We start from the raw sequence: 14,446 nt of genomic DNA on the forward strand, positions 1-14,446 counted from the left end.
GAAAAGCCACACAGACAGGGAGAATGTGCAAATTCTACACAGCGGCCTAGCCAGGAGTCAACTTTTTTCTCATCAACATTATAATAAAGCAACATAAAACTGAATGACATTATTTGGGACCTGCTGTATATTCCCTCTCAGGATTAACTGATTTGCCCAAGATCACCTAGTTAAAAGGCGAATAATGCCTTCCCCTCTACCAAGTTGCTTCAACATGCAAGTACTCTACAGCTAGTCACAGTCTCATTATCAGGATGGCACAGCAGGAAGGGAACTAGACTCGGAATCTGGACACCTGGTTCTACAGGACTAGCTCTTCTGCTAACCATGAACCCAAGACAGGTCATTTACATTTTTGGTGTCTTGTTTTCTCAACTATAAAATAACTACTTTCACTGAACCAGAGTCAACCAATACATGCTATTTGTGCTACAATTCTCCAATCCAGCACACTCTGACCAACATTGCTAGTTAATCACAGAAATCTTTTCTGTTGAACCCAGATGAGACCTCAAAACCTTACATAACAGTGTTCAGGTGATCACCAATAAGTCAACATGGGCACTCTGGCCTTAGAGGTTCCTTCTCTAAAGTGCCTCCAGAGCTAACACACTACCATGCAGTGATCATGGTGTATGCCGCTCTATGGCATCCTCTCTTGAAAAAGGAAGGCTGAGGGTGATTTGACTGAGCTGCTAAGGTAGGCAGATATGGAACAAAGCTTTTTTTTTTTTTGCAGTTATTTTTAAACTTCTAAAAATACTTTGATATGCTAAAATTAAAACTCATGAGTCAAAATACACTACTGATTAAAATAAAACACTTCCAAATCATCTACCACAGGAAATCTAGGAAAGGCATGGCAGCATGTACCAAGCTGAAAATCTTTAGGAATAACTCAAACTTTAAAGGGATCTTTCTTCTATTTTCAAAGTGTATTGTGAGCATTTCCACAGAATTCTCTGCACAAAAGTAGAGACATACAACAGATCTACAGCACCCTTCACCCAGTTTCAATCACCATCAACATTTTGCCATAAATGTTCACAGTATCTAACTTTAAAGGTCAAGATGACTGGGGGCTATGGTCCAAATTCTGGCAAAACATAGCTTCCTAGGAAACATGCTTGTGTCCATGAGTTAATACATGGGCACACACACCCATAAAATAACTTCCACACAATGCTAAAAAATGAACTGGAGCAAGATTCTTGCTATTCCAAGTGTGGTCCCTGATCACCAACTGGGAGCTTGTTAAAACTACAGACCCCCAGGCCTCATTCCAAACTTACTGAGTCACAATTTACATTTTAACAAAATCCCCAGGTAATGAGTCTGCACGCTAAGGTTTACAAAAGCACTGGTCTACTCTAGACCACCGTAACTGTCCTCTGAAAGCTTCTCCTATTGCCATTCTGAAAAGCTGGGCAAGAAACCAAAGTATAAAATACAGTGTTCATTTTACTTGGGAGAGTTATTTGCCATTAAACAATAAAATGTAAAGGTATATGATTTAAGACTTAGCAATTCCACTTCTCAATCCCTACCCTAGAGAAATACTTGTATATAAGCGTAAATAACAGGATATTACAAAGATGTTTATTGCAGCATGTTTGGAATTGGAAACAGCCTAACCATAGGCAAATGGCAAAACAAACCAGTACAGACAGTAAACGGAGGCTAAAGTGAATGAGCCAGATCATGGAAAGTTCTAGACATGTTGCGTGAAAAAAGCCAGTTGTGGAATGTTCCACTTAGTATGACAGTTGTTTAAAGTAAAAGAAAAGAAACACAAATGCCTCATTATATATTCTCTCTGGATACATATACGCATATGTAAAGGAAGAGAAAAGGTCTGGAAAGACAGATAATGAAAGGAAATAGTGGTTACAACTGGGAAAGGAGGAAAGGGACCAGGATTAGGGATGGGAGGTTAAAAGAGGATTATGATGTTCTATTTGCTTATTAATTGAAAGGAGAATACATCACTTATCACCTGTGGGACAAATATTTTTCAAGTAGCTATATAGTTCCTTGGCCAAATGAGTTTATGGAGAGAACATATGTTCAGGATAAGGCTGCAGAAAGATGGACAGAAAATTTAAAGATCTTCAGCAAACTGCGGGTATTTGGTACACTGGCACAGACCATTTTTTCTCGCGTTTTCTCCCACATACACATTCAGCTGCTACTGCGTATATTCTGCGCTATTTAAAAAGGTCTTCAAAAGTGGTATGATGTTGGTTTTTCTGTGTATACACAGAAAGGTAGCTTTTTTCATTTGTCTGTGAGCTACCTGAAAACATGTTATATACGTGATTCCTTCTGCTACTGCACATTCCCACGGATGATATGAATTCTACCTAAATGAATTACTCACCAGGCTATGTATAATCATAATAATATATTTTTAAGATCCCTAAGAAGTGCACAGAGCACATATCGTCCCCATTTTATAGCCGAAGAAACCAGCTCAGAAAGGTTGCATGATATGTCTACGGACTATCTAACCAGTAAGTGGCAAAGCTAGACCTTGGCTCACATCTTGTGATTCCAAGTCCTCTATCATTTCAATTACACCACATTTGCCACACTGTCATATTTAAATATAATACCTATCCACATTTTAAGGCAGTTTTTTGGCAGCTTCAGGTTGGAAATTCTCAGGAGAAACATTAGAATTCAAATAATATGTACACTTTGGGGCTCTCAAATCTAGTTATTTGAGTTTTTTAACTTTTCCAATACCTTGCCTTGAACAACCCAAGGAAATAAGGCTGCAAAAAAATACTACTACCCTATCCTCAACATAAAGTAGATTAAGGATGAATTCCAGCTATTCTGCATTTTTAAAAAAATTGTCTGTTTTTATTGTGGAAAAAACTCAACAAATACAAAAGCAGACAAATACTATGTATCCATCTCCCAGCTTCAGCAATGATAATCCATTAGAAATGTCATAGTGAGAATGTCAACAGTGTTTGAGGAGCTGGGAGGAAAGGAAGAATCTAGTTGTCTGTCCCGAATAATAGGCTGAAAAATTCCATTTCTAAAGGTAAGTGACACCTGGAAGCTTTTCATGTGAAATATTCTCAATCTGACTTATAGGCTTTGTGAAGTTAAACTCTTTTTAAAGGTTTGGCGTTAACAGGGTTAAAAGGTTACAGTGGATCCTGGATATTAAATAATAATATTAAAATAATACAACTGACTTCTTGAAGTCGGTTTAAGCATTGTGACTAGAGAGATACAACTCTGGACATATATGCATGCCTTTATTTATAGCAGCAAGCACCAAGTCTTATGGGAAAAGCTCCTCAATCATTTAAAAATCAAACTATTTTAAGCACCTCACAACTTTCTAAGAATTTTGTTTGTTTGCTTTAACATTGTTCCCAAAAGTTGGGTCATAAGTTGTTTGTGTTTGTGTGTGTGTGTGTGTGTGTATGCATGAGTGCGTTTGCTTTGGGGAAATGTGCAAAATGGGGTTAGTGGGTTTGAAGCATCAAAGGCTCTTTGAATAGTTCTAACCAGGGCTGCATTTGTGGGATAAGGTCCTGGGAGTTCATAGTATGACTAAGAAGTGAATTAGCTACTTGAAATATTTTTTTTTAGAATTGGGCAGAATATATATATTGTTTAAAAAATATGAATCAAGCACAGCTCACTTCAAATAGAAGGCATATTTCCCATAACCATTTAAAACATATGTACTGGTTCTGAGATCTTGCTAAATTTAAACCGTGACTCAGTAGAGTAAGACAACTCCTTCCTTCTTCGTTCAGAAAGAAAAGAGTGAAGAGATGGCCCTAGTAGTGAGTACTGCTAAAAACACCCTCTTTGTGCCAGGAACTTAATGTGCCAGGAAAATTTTAATGATGTAGAGAATTATTAGCCCCCAACTCCCTTTTCTTAGATGAGAAAACAACAGGTTGAAGGTATTTAAAACTCGCTTAAAATCACACGGCTAATTTCTAATATTGGTCCATTTGACTCCAAAATCTACCCCTTTTCCTCTGTATCACATTGATATTCAACTAGACTAGAAGCATCATGTGTTTGCTTCAAATAGTCTTGAAACGTTTCACCGACTATCTCTGCTTGGAATTAACCTTTTGGGCATGGTGTTCTCTAATTTACCATGTTCAAGAAACTCACATTCGTTTACATAGAAAGTTATATTACCATCCACTAATTTTGAGACCCTTTGAAAAGGGCTTTCCACTATACCATGGCACTTACAAGGTGGTCACCAAAAAATAATTATTCCTAGTAATTTTATTCCATCACTGGGAGCGCAGACTGTCAATTAACAGGCATACCTACACTGGTCTTACCTGAAAATAGCTACATAACTGTGTCCACACAGTGACTAGAATAAGTCAAAGCATGAAACTCACAGGGTACAAGGCTCTTACACAGAGAAGAGCCGGCATGAAGTTCACCAGGATCCCAGGGTGGGGACTGGGAGGTGGAAGTCGCTGGCTTTCTGGCATGGTCACCAAGTAACACCCACCTGAGATGTTCTCCCAAAGTCTTGTGGTGGTTATTGTTTTCAACTCCATCTTTAAGAGCACATATGAAGAAGTTATGTAGTTGGGATTAACCACCTGTCAGCTGTGGGCCTTGTGTTATCAAGTTACTAACACAATTAATAGTTCTAATTACATAGTTTTTAGTTCAAGTTTAATTCCACTAAAGTGTCATGGTGAAGCTAGACCAATTATGAAGGTTTATGGATAAAAGGATAGTGATAAGATTAAAGGTTATCATATATATGATTCACAGTTGAGACACACAAGATACTTGCAAACCAAGAGTGGTCCTTCTTGTTCTACGAACAGCAATAAAAGTAAATGTGCCCCTCACCTATACAGATTTCTAAACATCTGGACTCTTACTGAAAATAGATTGAAGCCTCTGCTCTGAGAAGGTCATGGAAGGCCTAACTGCACAATGGCCCTCAGGTGGGAGAGTGGGCTAGGCCCTCCAGGGTTACAGGGAGCTCTGCACAGGGGAAGAAGGACTTAAGGTGGTAGAAAGCCACTGTGATTGCCAAGGTCAGCAAAAGTGGAGTTCTCACCCCTGAGGGCAGGACAAAGAGTTCCCAAGATTCCAACCCAGGAGGTGTTTACAAACTTAGGGACATAAACCAGGGAAAGTCTATGAGAGCCGTTACTTGGTCACCAGCCAAAGGTCATTGCCTCTGTACCTCATTGTCTTTATCACCTTATGTAAAAACAGACCTCTACTTCCAAGACCTGACTGGCCGAAGTGGTTAATACCTATTTGTGCATAACCAGTAGCTCAGCTATGCTTCCCCATCTATGATGTAAATCTTCCCAGGGATTCAGAGTGATGGGGTGGGGATACAGAATGGGTGTAGTCCATATTTTCCCCAGTTTATTATAAAGGATATCACATTTTTGTGGAATATCAACCCCTTGTGAAGTTTTAAAATATTTTTTGATATTTTTACGTTAAAGCAAACATATAGTAGAGTACCTTGACAGAAAGTTATTATACATACATACGAAAAATATACACAATCTTTGTTAATATTTTAAAATAAAAAACAAAATTAAATAAACAACAGCCTGGCGAGGTGGCTCACGTCAGTAATCCCAGCCCTTTGGGAGGCCAAGGCAGGCAGATCACCTGAGGTCAGGAGTTCAAGACCAGCCTAGCCAACATGGTGAACTTCGTCTCTACTGAAAATACAAAAAATTAGCCAGGTGTGGTGGCGCATGCCTGTAGTCCCAGATACTTGGGAGGCTGAGGCAGAAGAATTGCTTGAACCCGGGAGACAGAGGTTATAGTGAGCTGAGATCGCACCACTCCACTCCAGCCTGGGCGACAGAGTGAGACTTTGTCTCTAAATAAATAAACAAGTAGATAGATAGATAGATAGACAGACAGACAGACAGACAAAGTTTTGTGTTTACAGAGGTCACTTTGATCGAAACATCCTCCATCCCCTCGGGCATCCTGCTCTGAAGAGAATTTCAGTAGAGATATTTGAGGAACACTGACCTGCTGGATCTCTAGGAAGTTCCCTCAGCACTCAGAATGGAATGGCTCATCCCACCCGTCAAAGGCCACCTCCAGCACAGCACAGCAGGAGGCACCAATCCTTTACACTGCTCTTTAGGGGCCCTCCACACACTACCCTCTGAGCAGCTACAGAGCTGGGTACTACTGCATCAGCACTGCTCATGCTATGAACACTTTCCCCATGCAATGAATGCTGTTCCAGCGATCCCCTGCTATTCATCATCATCAAACCCTGCAACGGCAGCAAAAAGGTCAACTGGTAGTAGAAACCAAGTCAAACTGTATGTACAGAGATGGGTCTGTGAGAGGGCAAGCTGGGCCAAAGAAAAATTGTAAGGAGAACTCAAGGGTACAATGGGCATTTGCAGAAGTATCACCAGTACAGCCAGTCCCAGAAGCTCATTCACTAACCACCTACTATGTGCAAGGCAATGGGGATACAGAGATGCCTAAGACAGTCTTTGCCTGTGAGGCAAGTCAGGATGACCTAAATTCCTGACATTTCAGTGGTGTGCTGTCAAAATTTATATATTCTAAATCAGACTTAATTTTTTCAGGGAAAATAATGAAATGCCTGTGTTTTCTTTTCAATTAACAGCTGACGTGGGACAGGCACGGTGGCTCATGCCTGTAATCCCAGCATTTTGGGAGGCAGGGGCAGGCAGATCACTTGAGGTCAGGAGTTCCAGACCAGCCTGTCCAACATGGAGACACCCAGCCTCTACTAAAAATACAAAAATTAGCTGGGTATGGTGACGCACACCTGTAATCCCAGCTACTCGGGAGGTTGAGGCAGGAGAATCGCTTGAACCTGGGAGATGGAGACTGTAGTGAGCCGAGATCACGCCACTGCACTCCAGCCTGGGCAACAGAGTGAGACTCCTTCTCAAAAAAAAAAAAAAAGAAACGACATGATTGCGAAGAGCTTATATGGAGCTTTCGGGGTAGAGACCGTTATGCCCCAGCATTTAGACACTCATTTTACTGTGTCAATAACGAGTGTTAAAAAAAAAAAAAATGGAATTCTGGTCTAATAGGCAAGAAGCATCTGTCTGATATATCAGGGAGACTTAAGCATTTGACAAACTTCTAAAGGATTTAAAAGATGTTTTGAAATTAAAATGTCCACAGCATGGTGGCTTGTGCCTGTAATTCCAGCAACTTGGGAGACCAAGGTAGAAGGATCACTTGAGGCCTGGAGTTTGAGACCAGCCTGGGCAACATATCAAGACTCTGCCTCTAAAAATAAAAAAAATAATAATAATTAGCTGGGCCTGATGGCATATACCTGTAGTCCTAGCTACTCAGGAGGATCACTTGAACCCAGAAGTTTGAGACTACAGTGAGCTACAATGGGGCCATTGCACCCCAGCCTGGGTAACAAAGGGAGACCCGCCTCTTTATAAATTAATTAATTAATTCCAGGGCATAGAGTTCACTGTGTAAACCATTTCTAGACTGAATTGGTCATTAAAAGTAGATCTAAGGATTCTTTCATTCAACTACAAGATAACAAATTAAATAGACTGAAGAAAATGTTCTCAAGTCTCTGCTAAATGCAGGTATATTCAGAGGTTGATAAGATACATGTCCTGTCTTCCAGAATTCAGTTTTAAGCAGTGTTTTTCAAACTTATCTTTCATTATCGCTCCCCTAATGAGCTAATTAAACTTTTTTTTTTTCAAATCGCTCCATTACCACCCACTACCCCCGCCAAGAAATTTTAATACCAAAGATAAACTATGTATCTGTTGATGTACTGCGTCCCTTTGAAAGGCTGCAAGTCATTACAACAGCTAAGATTTCACTCCCCCCAAGAATCAATGTTCACTCCCCTGGAGGCAACATGGCCCCACTGAGAAATCCTGGTGTAGAGAAAATGTTCGTAGAACCTGTCAGGCCTCTGAGCCCAAGCTAAGCCATCGTATCCCCTGTGACCTGCACGTATATGTCCACATGGCCTGAAGCAAGTAAAGAATCACAAAAGAAGTGAAAATGGCCGGTTCCTGCCTTCACTGATGACATTCCACCACTGTGATTTGTTCCTGCCCCACCTTAACTGAGCAATTAACCTTGTTAAATTCCTTCTCCTGGCTCAGAAGCTCCCCCACTGAGCACCTTGTGACCCGCCCCTGCCCGTAAGAGAAAAACCCCCTTTGATTGTAATTTTCCACTACCCACCCAAATCCTATAAAACAGCCCCACCCTAGGTCCCTTCGCTGACTCTCTTTTCGGACTCAGCCCACCTGCACCCAGGTGAAATAAACAGCCTTGTTGCTCACACAAAGCCTGTTTGGTGGTCTCTTCACATGGACGCGCGTGACAGAACCCTCTTAAGATACGTGGAAACCTACATATACATTTTTTTTCATCAAAATCTGAAAGGACTCCCTGATCAAAAAAGATTAGATCTACAGCAGGGGTCAGAAAACCTGTTCTGTAAAGGACTGGATAATAAATGTATTTTAGGTTTTGTGGGCCACATACTGCCTCTAAGGCATATTCTTCTTTATTTTTTGTTTTGTTTTCACAACCTTTCGAAATGTAAAAGCCTTTCTTAGTTCAAGGACCCCACCAAAACAAATTACTGCCCAAATCTGTCCTGTGGGCTGGAGTCTGCTGACTCCTGATCCAGAGGAATAATAGCTAACATTTTTTGAAATCTTAACATTTATAAAAAAGTAACCATTTGTAGAATGGTGATGGCCGGAGGCTGGAAGGGGGGCAATGGCGAGTTACTGTTTAATGGGTATAGAGTTTCTGTTTTACAAGACAAAGACAGTTCTGGAGATAGATAGTGGCGATGGCTGCATAAACAACGTGAATGTAGTTAACGCTCCTGAGTTGCACACTTAAAAATGGTTAGGGTGGTAAAGGCGATGTTATATGTATTTTACCACAATGAAAAAAATCACTTAAAGAAATAAAAAATATGTCATTTAAAAAATATTTAACGTTTGTTCAATACCCACTAAAAAAAAATGAGTAGATATTTTCATTTTATAACTGAAGAATTTGAGGCTAAAAGAGCTCTGACAGGCCGGGCGCGGCGGCTCACGCCTGTAATCCCTGCACTTTGGGAGGCCGAGGTGGGCAGATCACTTGAGGTCAGGAGTTCGAGACCAGCCTGGCCAACGTGGTGAAACCCCACCTCTACTAAAGATACAAAAATTAGCTGGGCGTGGTAGTGGGAGCCTGTAATTTCTGCTACTCAGGAGGCCGTGGCCCGAGAATCACTTGAACTCAGGAGGCAGAGGCTTCAGTGAGCTAAGATCACACCACTGCACTCCCGCCTGGGCAACAGAGTGAGACTCTGTCTCAAAAAAAAAAAACAGTTTGCACGAGTTACAAAGCTGCAAGTGGAGTGCTGAGATGGGAAGCTGTAAAGACTGAGCTCTTAGCCAGGATGGATGCTGTTTTCTCAGCACCAAGAACTCCTTTCACTTATTTTCTCCAACAGATCAACATCATTTGTTAATAATTTGTTTTGTTTTTTTAAACAATTACTTAAAGGTAATATAGACAATCAGAGCTTCAGATTCATTCGTGGCAAAAATCAAAAAGAAATTAGGCATTCTAGTTAGCACGTCAAGATTTTCTTCATGTAAATCTAAGTTGCATGAAAGCAAGGACTTTCCTTATCTGTCTGTTTCATCAAAGTACCCTCTGTTCCTACAACAGGGCTCTGTATTTAGAAATGTGAAAAAAGTGTTTACCCTCTTTTACTGCTGGGTCCTTAGTATTTGGGAGACCCCACATTATAACTGAAACTACTGAAGGCAGGTGGATTCTAGGATCCCTGTCATCTCTAAAGTTGTATGTTTCAGCCAGGTACAGTGGCTTATACCTGTAATCCCAACACTTTGGGAGGCCGAGGTGGGCTGATCGCTTGAGCCTAGGAGTTCAAGACCAACCTGAGCAATATAGGGAGACTTTGTCTCTATAAATAATAAAAAATTAGCTGGGCACACACCTGTTGTCCCAGCTACTCAGGAGGCTGATGTGGAAGGACCACTTGAGCCTAGGAGCTAGAAGCTGCAGAGAGCTATGATTGCGCCACTGCACTCTCAGCCTGGGCAACAGAGCAAGACCCCATCTCTAAAAGTAATAATAATAATAAAGTTGTATGTTTCAATGCCTTGATATGTTTATTTCACTAGTTCAGTCAGTCAACCATAGTTTTTGAGAACACACTACAGCATAAGTGCTAGTCTGGGTTCCTGTGGAAAAACAAACAGAGTAAAATAGAAATGTAATCTCAAGTCTACTGGTTGTAAAGTCCAAAACTGACAAACGACTTTTTTTTTTTTTTTTTTTTTTTTTTTGATAGAGTCTCACTCTGCCCAGGCTGGAGCGCAGTGGCGCGATCTCAGCTCGCTGCAGCCTCCACCTCCTGGGTTCAAAGTAATTCTGCCTCAGCCTCCCGAGTAGCTGGGATTACAGGCACTGCCACCACACCCAGCTAATTTTGGTATTTTTAGTAGAGACAGGGTGTTCACCATGTTGCCCAGGCTGGTCTCAAACTCCTGACCTCAGGTGATCTGCCTGCCTTTGCTTCCCAAAGTGCTGGGATTACAGGTGTGAGCCACTGTGCCCAGCCTCATTCTATTTTTTTGAGACAGGGTCTCACTATGTTGCCTAGGCTGGAGTGAAGTGTCTATTCACAGGCCACTGCGAATATTCGATCCTCCCGCCTCAGCCTCTTGAGTAGCCGGGATTACAGGCACCAGCATCAACAAAGACTGTAAAAGATTTTCAATGAATCAAGGAAAGAATCTTAACTAGTTGTTTGAGCTGAGTTCCATATGGACTAAAAATGCATGAAAACTGCTGTATCTTAACTGTTTACAGCAGTTCCCTCAGGGTATCATCTGTGTGACCTCCCTGGGCATGTGACACAAGCTGAGCCTATCACGCACCCCTTAGAACTGTCACAAACACATGACCTAGGCTAGGCCAGTGACCATTCTTCCCTGGGATTTGTCAAACTTAAGCTGGGGGAAAAGAAGCCTGTTTTCTCTCAGATCACAGCAATAAAGATGTCTATAGATGGGCAATGACCACAGTCATATCCCCTTCCATGTAGAGGAAGCCCACCAGCAGCAAGACAAAAATTAACGCAACACTAAGAGATAAAAGGTGAGGAGAGCACGGAGCCACATAGGGCACACAGCTGTGTTTCAAGTCCCTGGTTATGAATGTCCTTAAAACCCACCTCATTCCAGCTCTTCCTGAAATCTAGTTAAGTAAGCAAAAAAAAAAACCCCTTTTGCTTCAGCTAGACTATGTGAGTTTCTGTTACTAACAACCAGGAATTTTTTTTTTTTTTTTTTTTTTTTGAGACAGAATCTCACTTTGTCACCCAGGCTGTAATGCAGTGGCACAATCCTGGCTCACTGCAACCTCCAACACCCAGGTTCGAGTGATTCTCCTGCCTCAGCCTCCCAAGTAGCTGGGATTACAGGCGTCCGCCACCACATCTGGCTAATTTTTGTATTTCTAGTAGAGATGAGGTTTCACCATGTTGGCCAGGCCAGTCTTGAACTCCTGAACTCAGGTTACCTGCCCACCTCAGCTTCCCAAAGTGCTGAGATTACAGGTGTGAGCCACTGTGCCCAGCTGCAACCAGGAATCTTAATGCATGGGCTGAGGAGGCTGACTGACCTAGACGACAATGTGCATCATCCCAGAAGTAGGCTAAAGGTAACCAGCTCCTCAGCTCACCCTGGACTGCTTCCTCGTCCTTCCTCCACCTCTAGTTTTCATCTGAGAAACTAGGTTAAACCTCTTTGCTACCAGGTGTGCTCAAATCCCTTAAACAGGCAGATCTGACATAAAGTACTGTTTAATCATTTTTGCTTCTAAACAAAATGATTGGGAAGTGAGTCTCCCAAAGTCCCCCAAATACAATAATTTTTATCTTAAAAGTGCCTTTACATTGTCTAGATCAAACACTCAAAAACAAGTGGGAAGAAGTGACTGGGCTTCAGGATATACATAACAAAGAGCTTTAAGGGAACCACTAAGAAGGTAATCTCTTCAAACAGCCCACGTAAATTATACTAATCTATGGAAAGAAATCTTCCATCACAAAGAGAATAACAAGAAAAATTTCACTTTCTTCCAACCCCAGCCACCAGCCAATCACCCTTTACTTCGCTGATTTCTGTATTATCATGTTCCTACCTTTCCTTCCTAAAATTGTTTTTTCCGTGTGAAACTAGAGGAAGCTATTCATGTTAAATCTGCTCAATTCTACCTAAGATTGGGGAGCTATGAATAGAAACAGTATGCATCTGAATTAGTCACCAGCCACAAGGAAACTTGATGTTTGCCTTAATAGAAAACTCAGAAAATTAATAATTTAGTAGCAGAATATTCAAAAAAGAGTGTTACCTTTCAAAAATATCTCAAGTTACTATAAGACTTTATTTGAAAGGAAGAGAAGTAAGAATTACTGTCTAATCAAAGACTACGTAATGGTAAACTGCCCACATCATGTTTTTCATTAGTTTATTGTTAAGGACAATTCTGAATAATTTTAAAAGTACTTTTTCATCACTAGCATTTAAGGAAAGAAAAAGATATTCTGCCCCCAGAAATGGCTTATTCAAGGTCAGCTTATGCATTTCTAAAATAGCAGGAGTTTCTAGATGACAATTGACCCCAGACCTGGCTAGTCTAATTATGGTCCATATTCTCCCACCAGGCTGTCTAAAGGGTAGGCACTGGAACTGTATTGGTCCACTGCTGTGTTTTTAGTGTCTGACAGTGCCTGGTGTATCACACATAGGTGATTAACAAACCTTTGATGAATAAGTACATAAAAAGATCAATAAATAAATCCAACTGTATGTCCTACTTCCAGCTCTGACGAAGAGTTCGACATAAATTCTTGAGTTTCACATAAGTTCTAGCTGTAATCCCAGCTACTTGGGAGGCTGAGGCACGAGGACTGCTTAAGCCCAGGAGCTTGCGCCCAGCCTGTAAAATATGGCACAAGAGCCTGTCTCGAAAAAGACATTTCTTGAGAAACTGCCAAGAATGGAAATGGAGAAAGTAAAAGTTTTTCTTTCTTCAACTCAACCAAATTCAACAAGGATCTCTGGGCGTGTCCTCTGTGCCAGGCACTAGGCTAATAATACCTGCTGACACCCAGATAAAGATAAGAGAGCCCCTTCCTCCAGGTGTGCATCACAGTGAGCTGACATCACCTGGAGGCCATCTTTCACAGGGCCTATCTGCTCATCAAGGGGGTTCATCTTTAGTAGGAAGAAGAGAGAGAAGACAATGGAATACTTTGATTTTGAAATATGCTTAAATATCCTAACCAGCCACTGACTGCTTATAGCATCATGTAACCTATTATTCATTTAACAGTGTTTCTACACAAAAACACATTCTAACAAAAATGCTACAGTTCCAGGGATGAACCCCCACATTCCTAATTCTTCACTTCTTCCACTACACCTCTGCTAAGGCAGAGCTGGAGGGAAGGAGAAGGAATAAAGGGCCACTGTGACAATGGGGGATCTTCTAGGACGGTAACATATGGGAAGGAAAGATGGGAGGTGTAATATTCCCATATTTGGCATGGATCATGCAAGTATTTGAAGACAAGAGGGGCTGTTCCTTTATTTCCAAACCTCACTAAATCCAGAAGCATCTTCTCATACTGAAATCCATCTTACTAAAGATATTACTACTACTGCTACCATCGGCTTGAATACATGATCACAGACAAATCATCAAGTTACAGTAAATCCTGTTAAAAAGTAGATGATTACTTAATGGGTTCAGGTACCGTCAAATTATGGCCCCTCCAAAAAAGCAGCTATAAAGAATAAAGTCCAACTAGTTTTGAAATTGAGTATCTGCTTTTCTCCTCAACACAAACAGTTTAAAAACAGGGCTGGGCGGGGTGGCTCATGCCTATAATCCCAGAACTTTGGGAGGCTGAGGCAATTGGATCACTTAAGGCCCAGGGTTTGAAACCAGCCTGGCCAACATGGCGAAACCCCGTCTCTACTAAGAATACAAAAATTATTTTTTTTTTTGTAAAAAATAATTTTTACAGGCGCAGTGACTCATGCCTGTAATCCCAGCACTTTGGGAGGCCAAGGCGGGTGGATCACGAGGTCAGGAGTTCAAGACCAGCCTGGTCAACATGGTGAAACCCCATCTCTACTAAAAAATACAAAAAAGTTAGCCGGGCCTGGTGACGGGCAACTGTAATCCCAGCTACTCGGGAGAGTGAGGCAGAGAATTGTTCGAACCCCGGAGGTGGAGGTTACAGTGAGCCGAGATCATGCCACTGTACTCCAGCCTGTACAAGAGAACAAGACTCCGTCTCAAAAAAAAAAAAAAAATACAGAGGTGCAATCAAAATAAG

At 41.3% G+C, this 14,446-nt stretch overlaps 1 protein-coding gene across 31 annotated transcripts in view, besides 5 other annotated features; it reads right to left on the reverse strand.

The window, feature by feature from the left end:
* Positions 1–14,446, reverse strand: part of IGF2BP2 (insulin like growth factor 2 mRNA binding protein 2) — a 181,913-nt gene that overhangs the window by 135,229 nt on the left and 32,238 nt on the right. The gene's annotated exons all lie outside the window — the stretch shown is intronic.
* Positions 729–1,626: an enhancer, noted in NCBI's record as "NANOG-H3K27ac hESC enhancer chr3:185496875-185497772 (GRCh37/hg19 assembly coordinates)". NCBI's record gives its function as "activates a minimal SCP1, AML or CMV promoter by ChIP-STARR-seq in naive H9 embryonic stem cells {active_cell/tissue: H9 hESC(naive)}" and the evidence as "EXISTENCE:reporter gene assay evidence [ECO:0000049][PMID:30033119]".
* Positions 1,714–2,214: an enhancer, noted in NCBI's record as "H3K4me1 hESC enhancer chr3:185497860-185498360 (GRCh37/hg19 assembly coordinates)". NCBI's record gives its function as "activates a minimal SCP1, AML or CMV promoter by ChIP-STARR-seq in naive H9 embryonic stem cells {active_cell/tissue: H9 hESC(naive)}" and the evidence as "EXISTENCE:reporter gene assay evidence [ECO:0000049][PMID:30033119]".
* Positions 5,733–6,626: an enhancer, noted in NCBI's record as "H3K27ac-H3K4me1 hESC enhancer chr3:185501879-185502772 (GRCh37/hg19 assembly coordinates)". NCBI's record gives its function as "activates a minimal SCP1, AML or CMV promoter by ChIP-STARR-seq in primed H9 embryonic stem cells {active_cell/tissue: H9 hESC(primed)}" and the evidence as "EXISTENCE:reporter gene assay evidence [ECO:0000049][PMID:30033119]".
* Positions 8,413–9,304: an enhancer, noted in NCBI's record as "NANOG-H3K27ac-H3K4me1 hESC enhancer chr3:185504559-185505450 (GRCh37/hg19 assembly coordinates)". NCBI's record gives its function as "activates a minimal SCP1, AML or CMV promoter by ChIP-STARR-seq in primed H9 embryonic stem cells {active_cell/tissue: H9 hESC(primed)}" and the evidence as "EXISTENCE:reporter gene assay evidence [ECO:0000049][PMID:30033119]".
* Positions 11,091–11,984: an enhancer, noted in NCBI's record as "NANOG-H3K27ac-H3K4me1 hESC enhancer chr3:185507237-185508130 (GRCh37/hg19 assembly coordinates)". NCBI's record gives its function as "activates a minimal SCP1, AML or CMV promoter by ChIP-STARR-seq in naive H9 embryonic stem cells {active_cell/tissue: H9 hESC(naive)}" and the evidence as "EXISTENCE:reporter gene assay evidence [ECO:0000049][PMID:30033119]".

This window comes from Homo sapiens, chromosome 3 (genome assembly GCF_000001405.40).
Source record: "Homo sapiens chromosome 3, GRCh38.p14 Primary Assembly".
Taxonomy (NCBI): domain Eukaryota; kingdom Metazoa; phylum Chordata; class Mammalia; order Primates; family Hominidae; genus Homo; species Homo sapiens.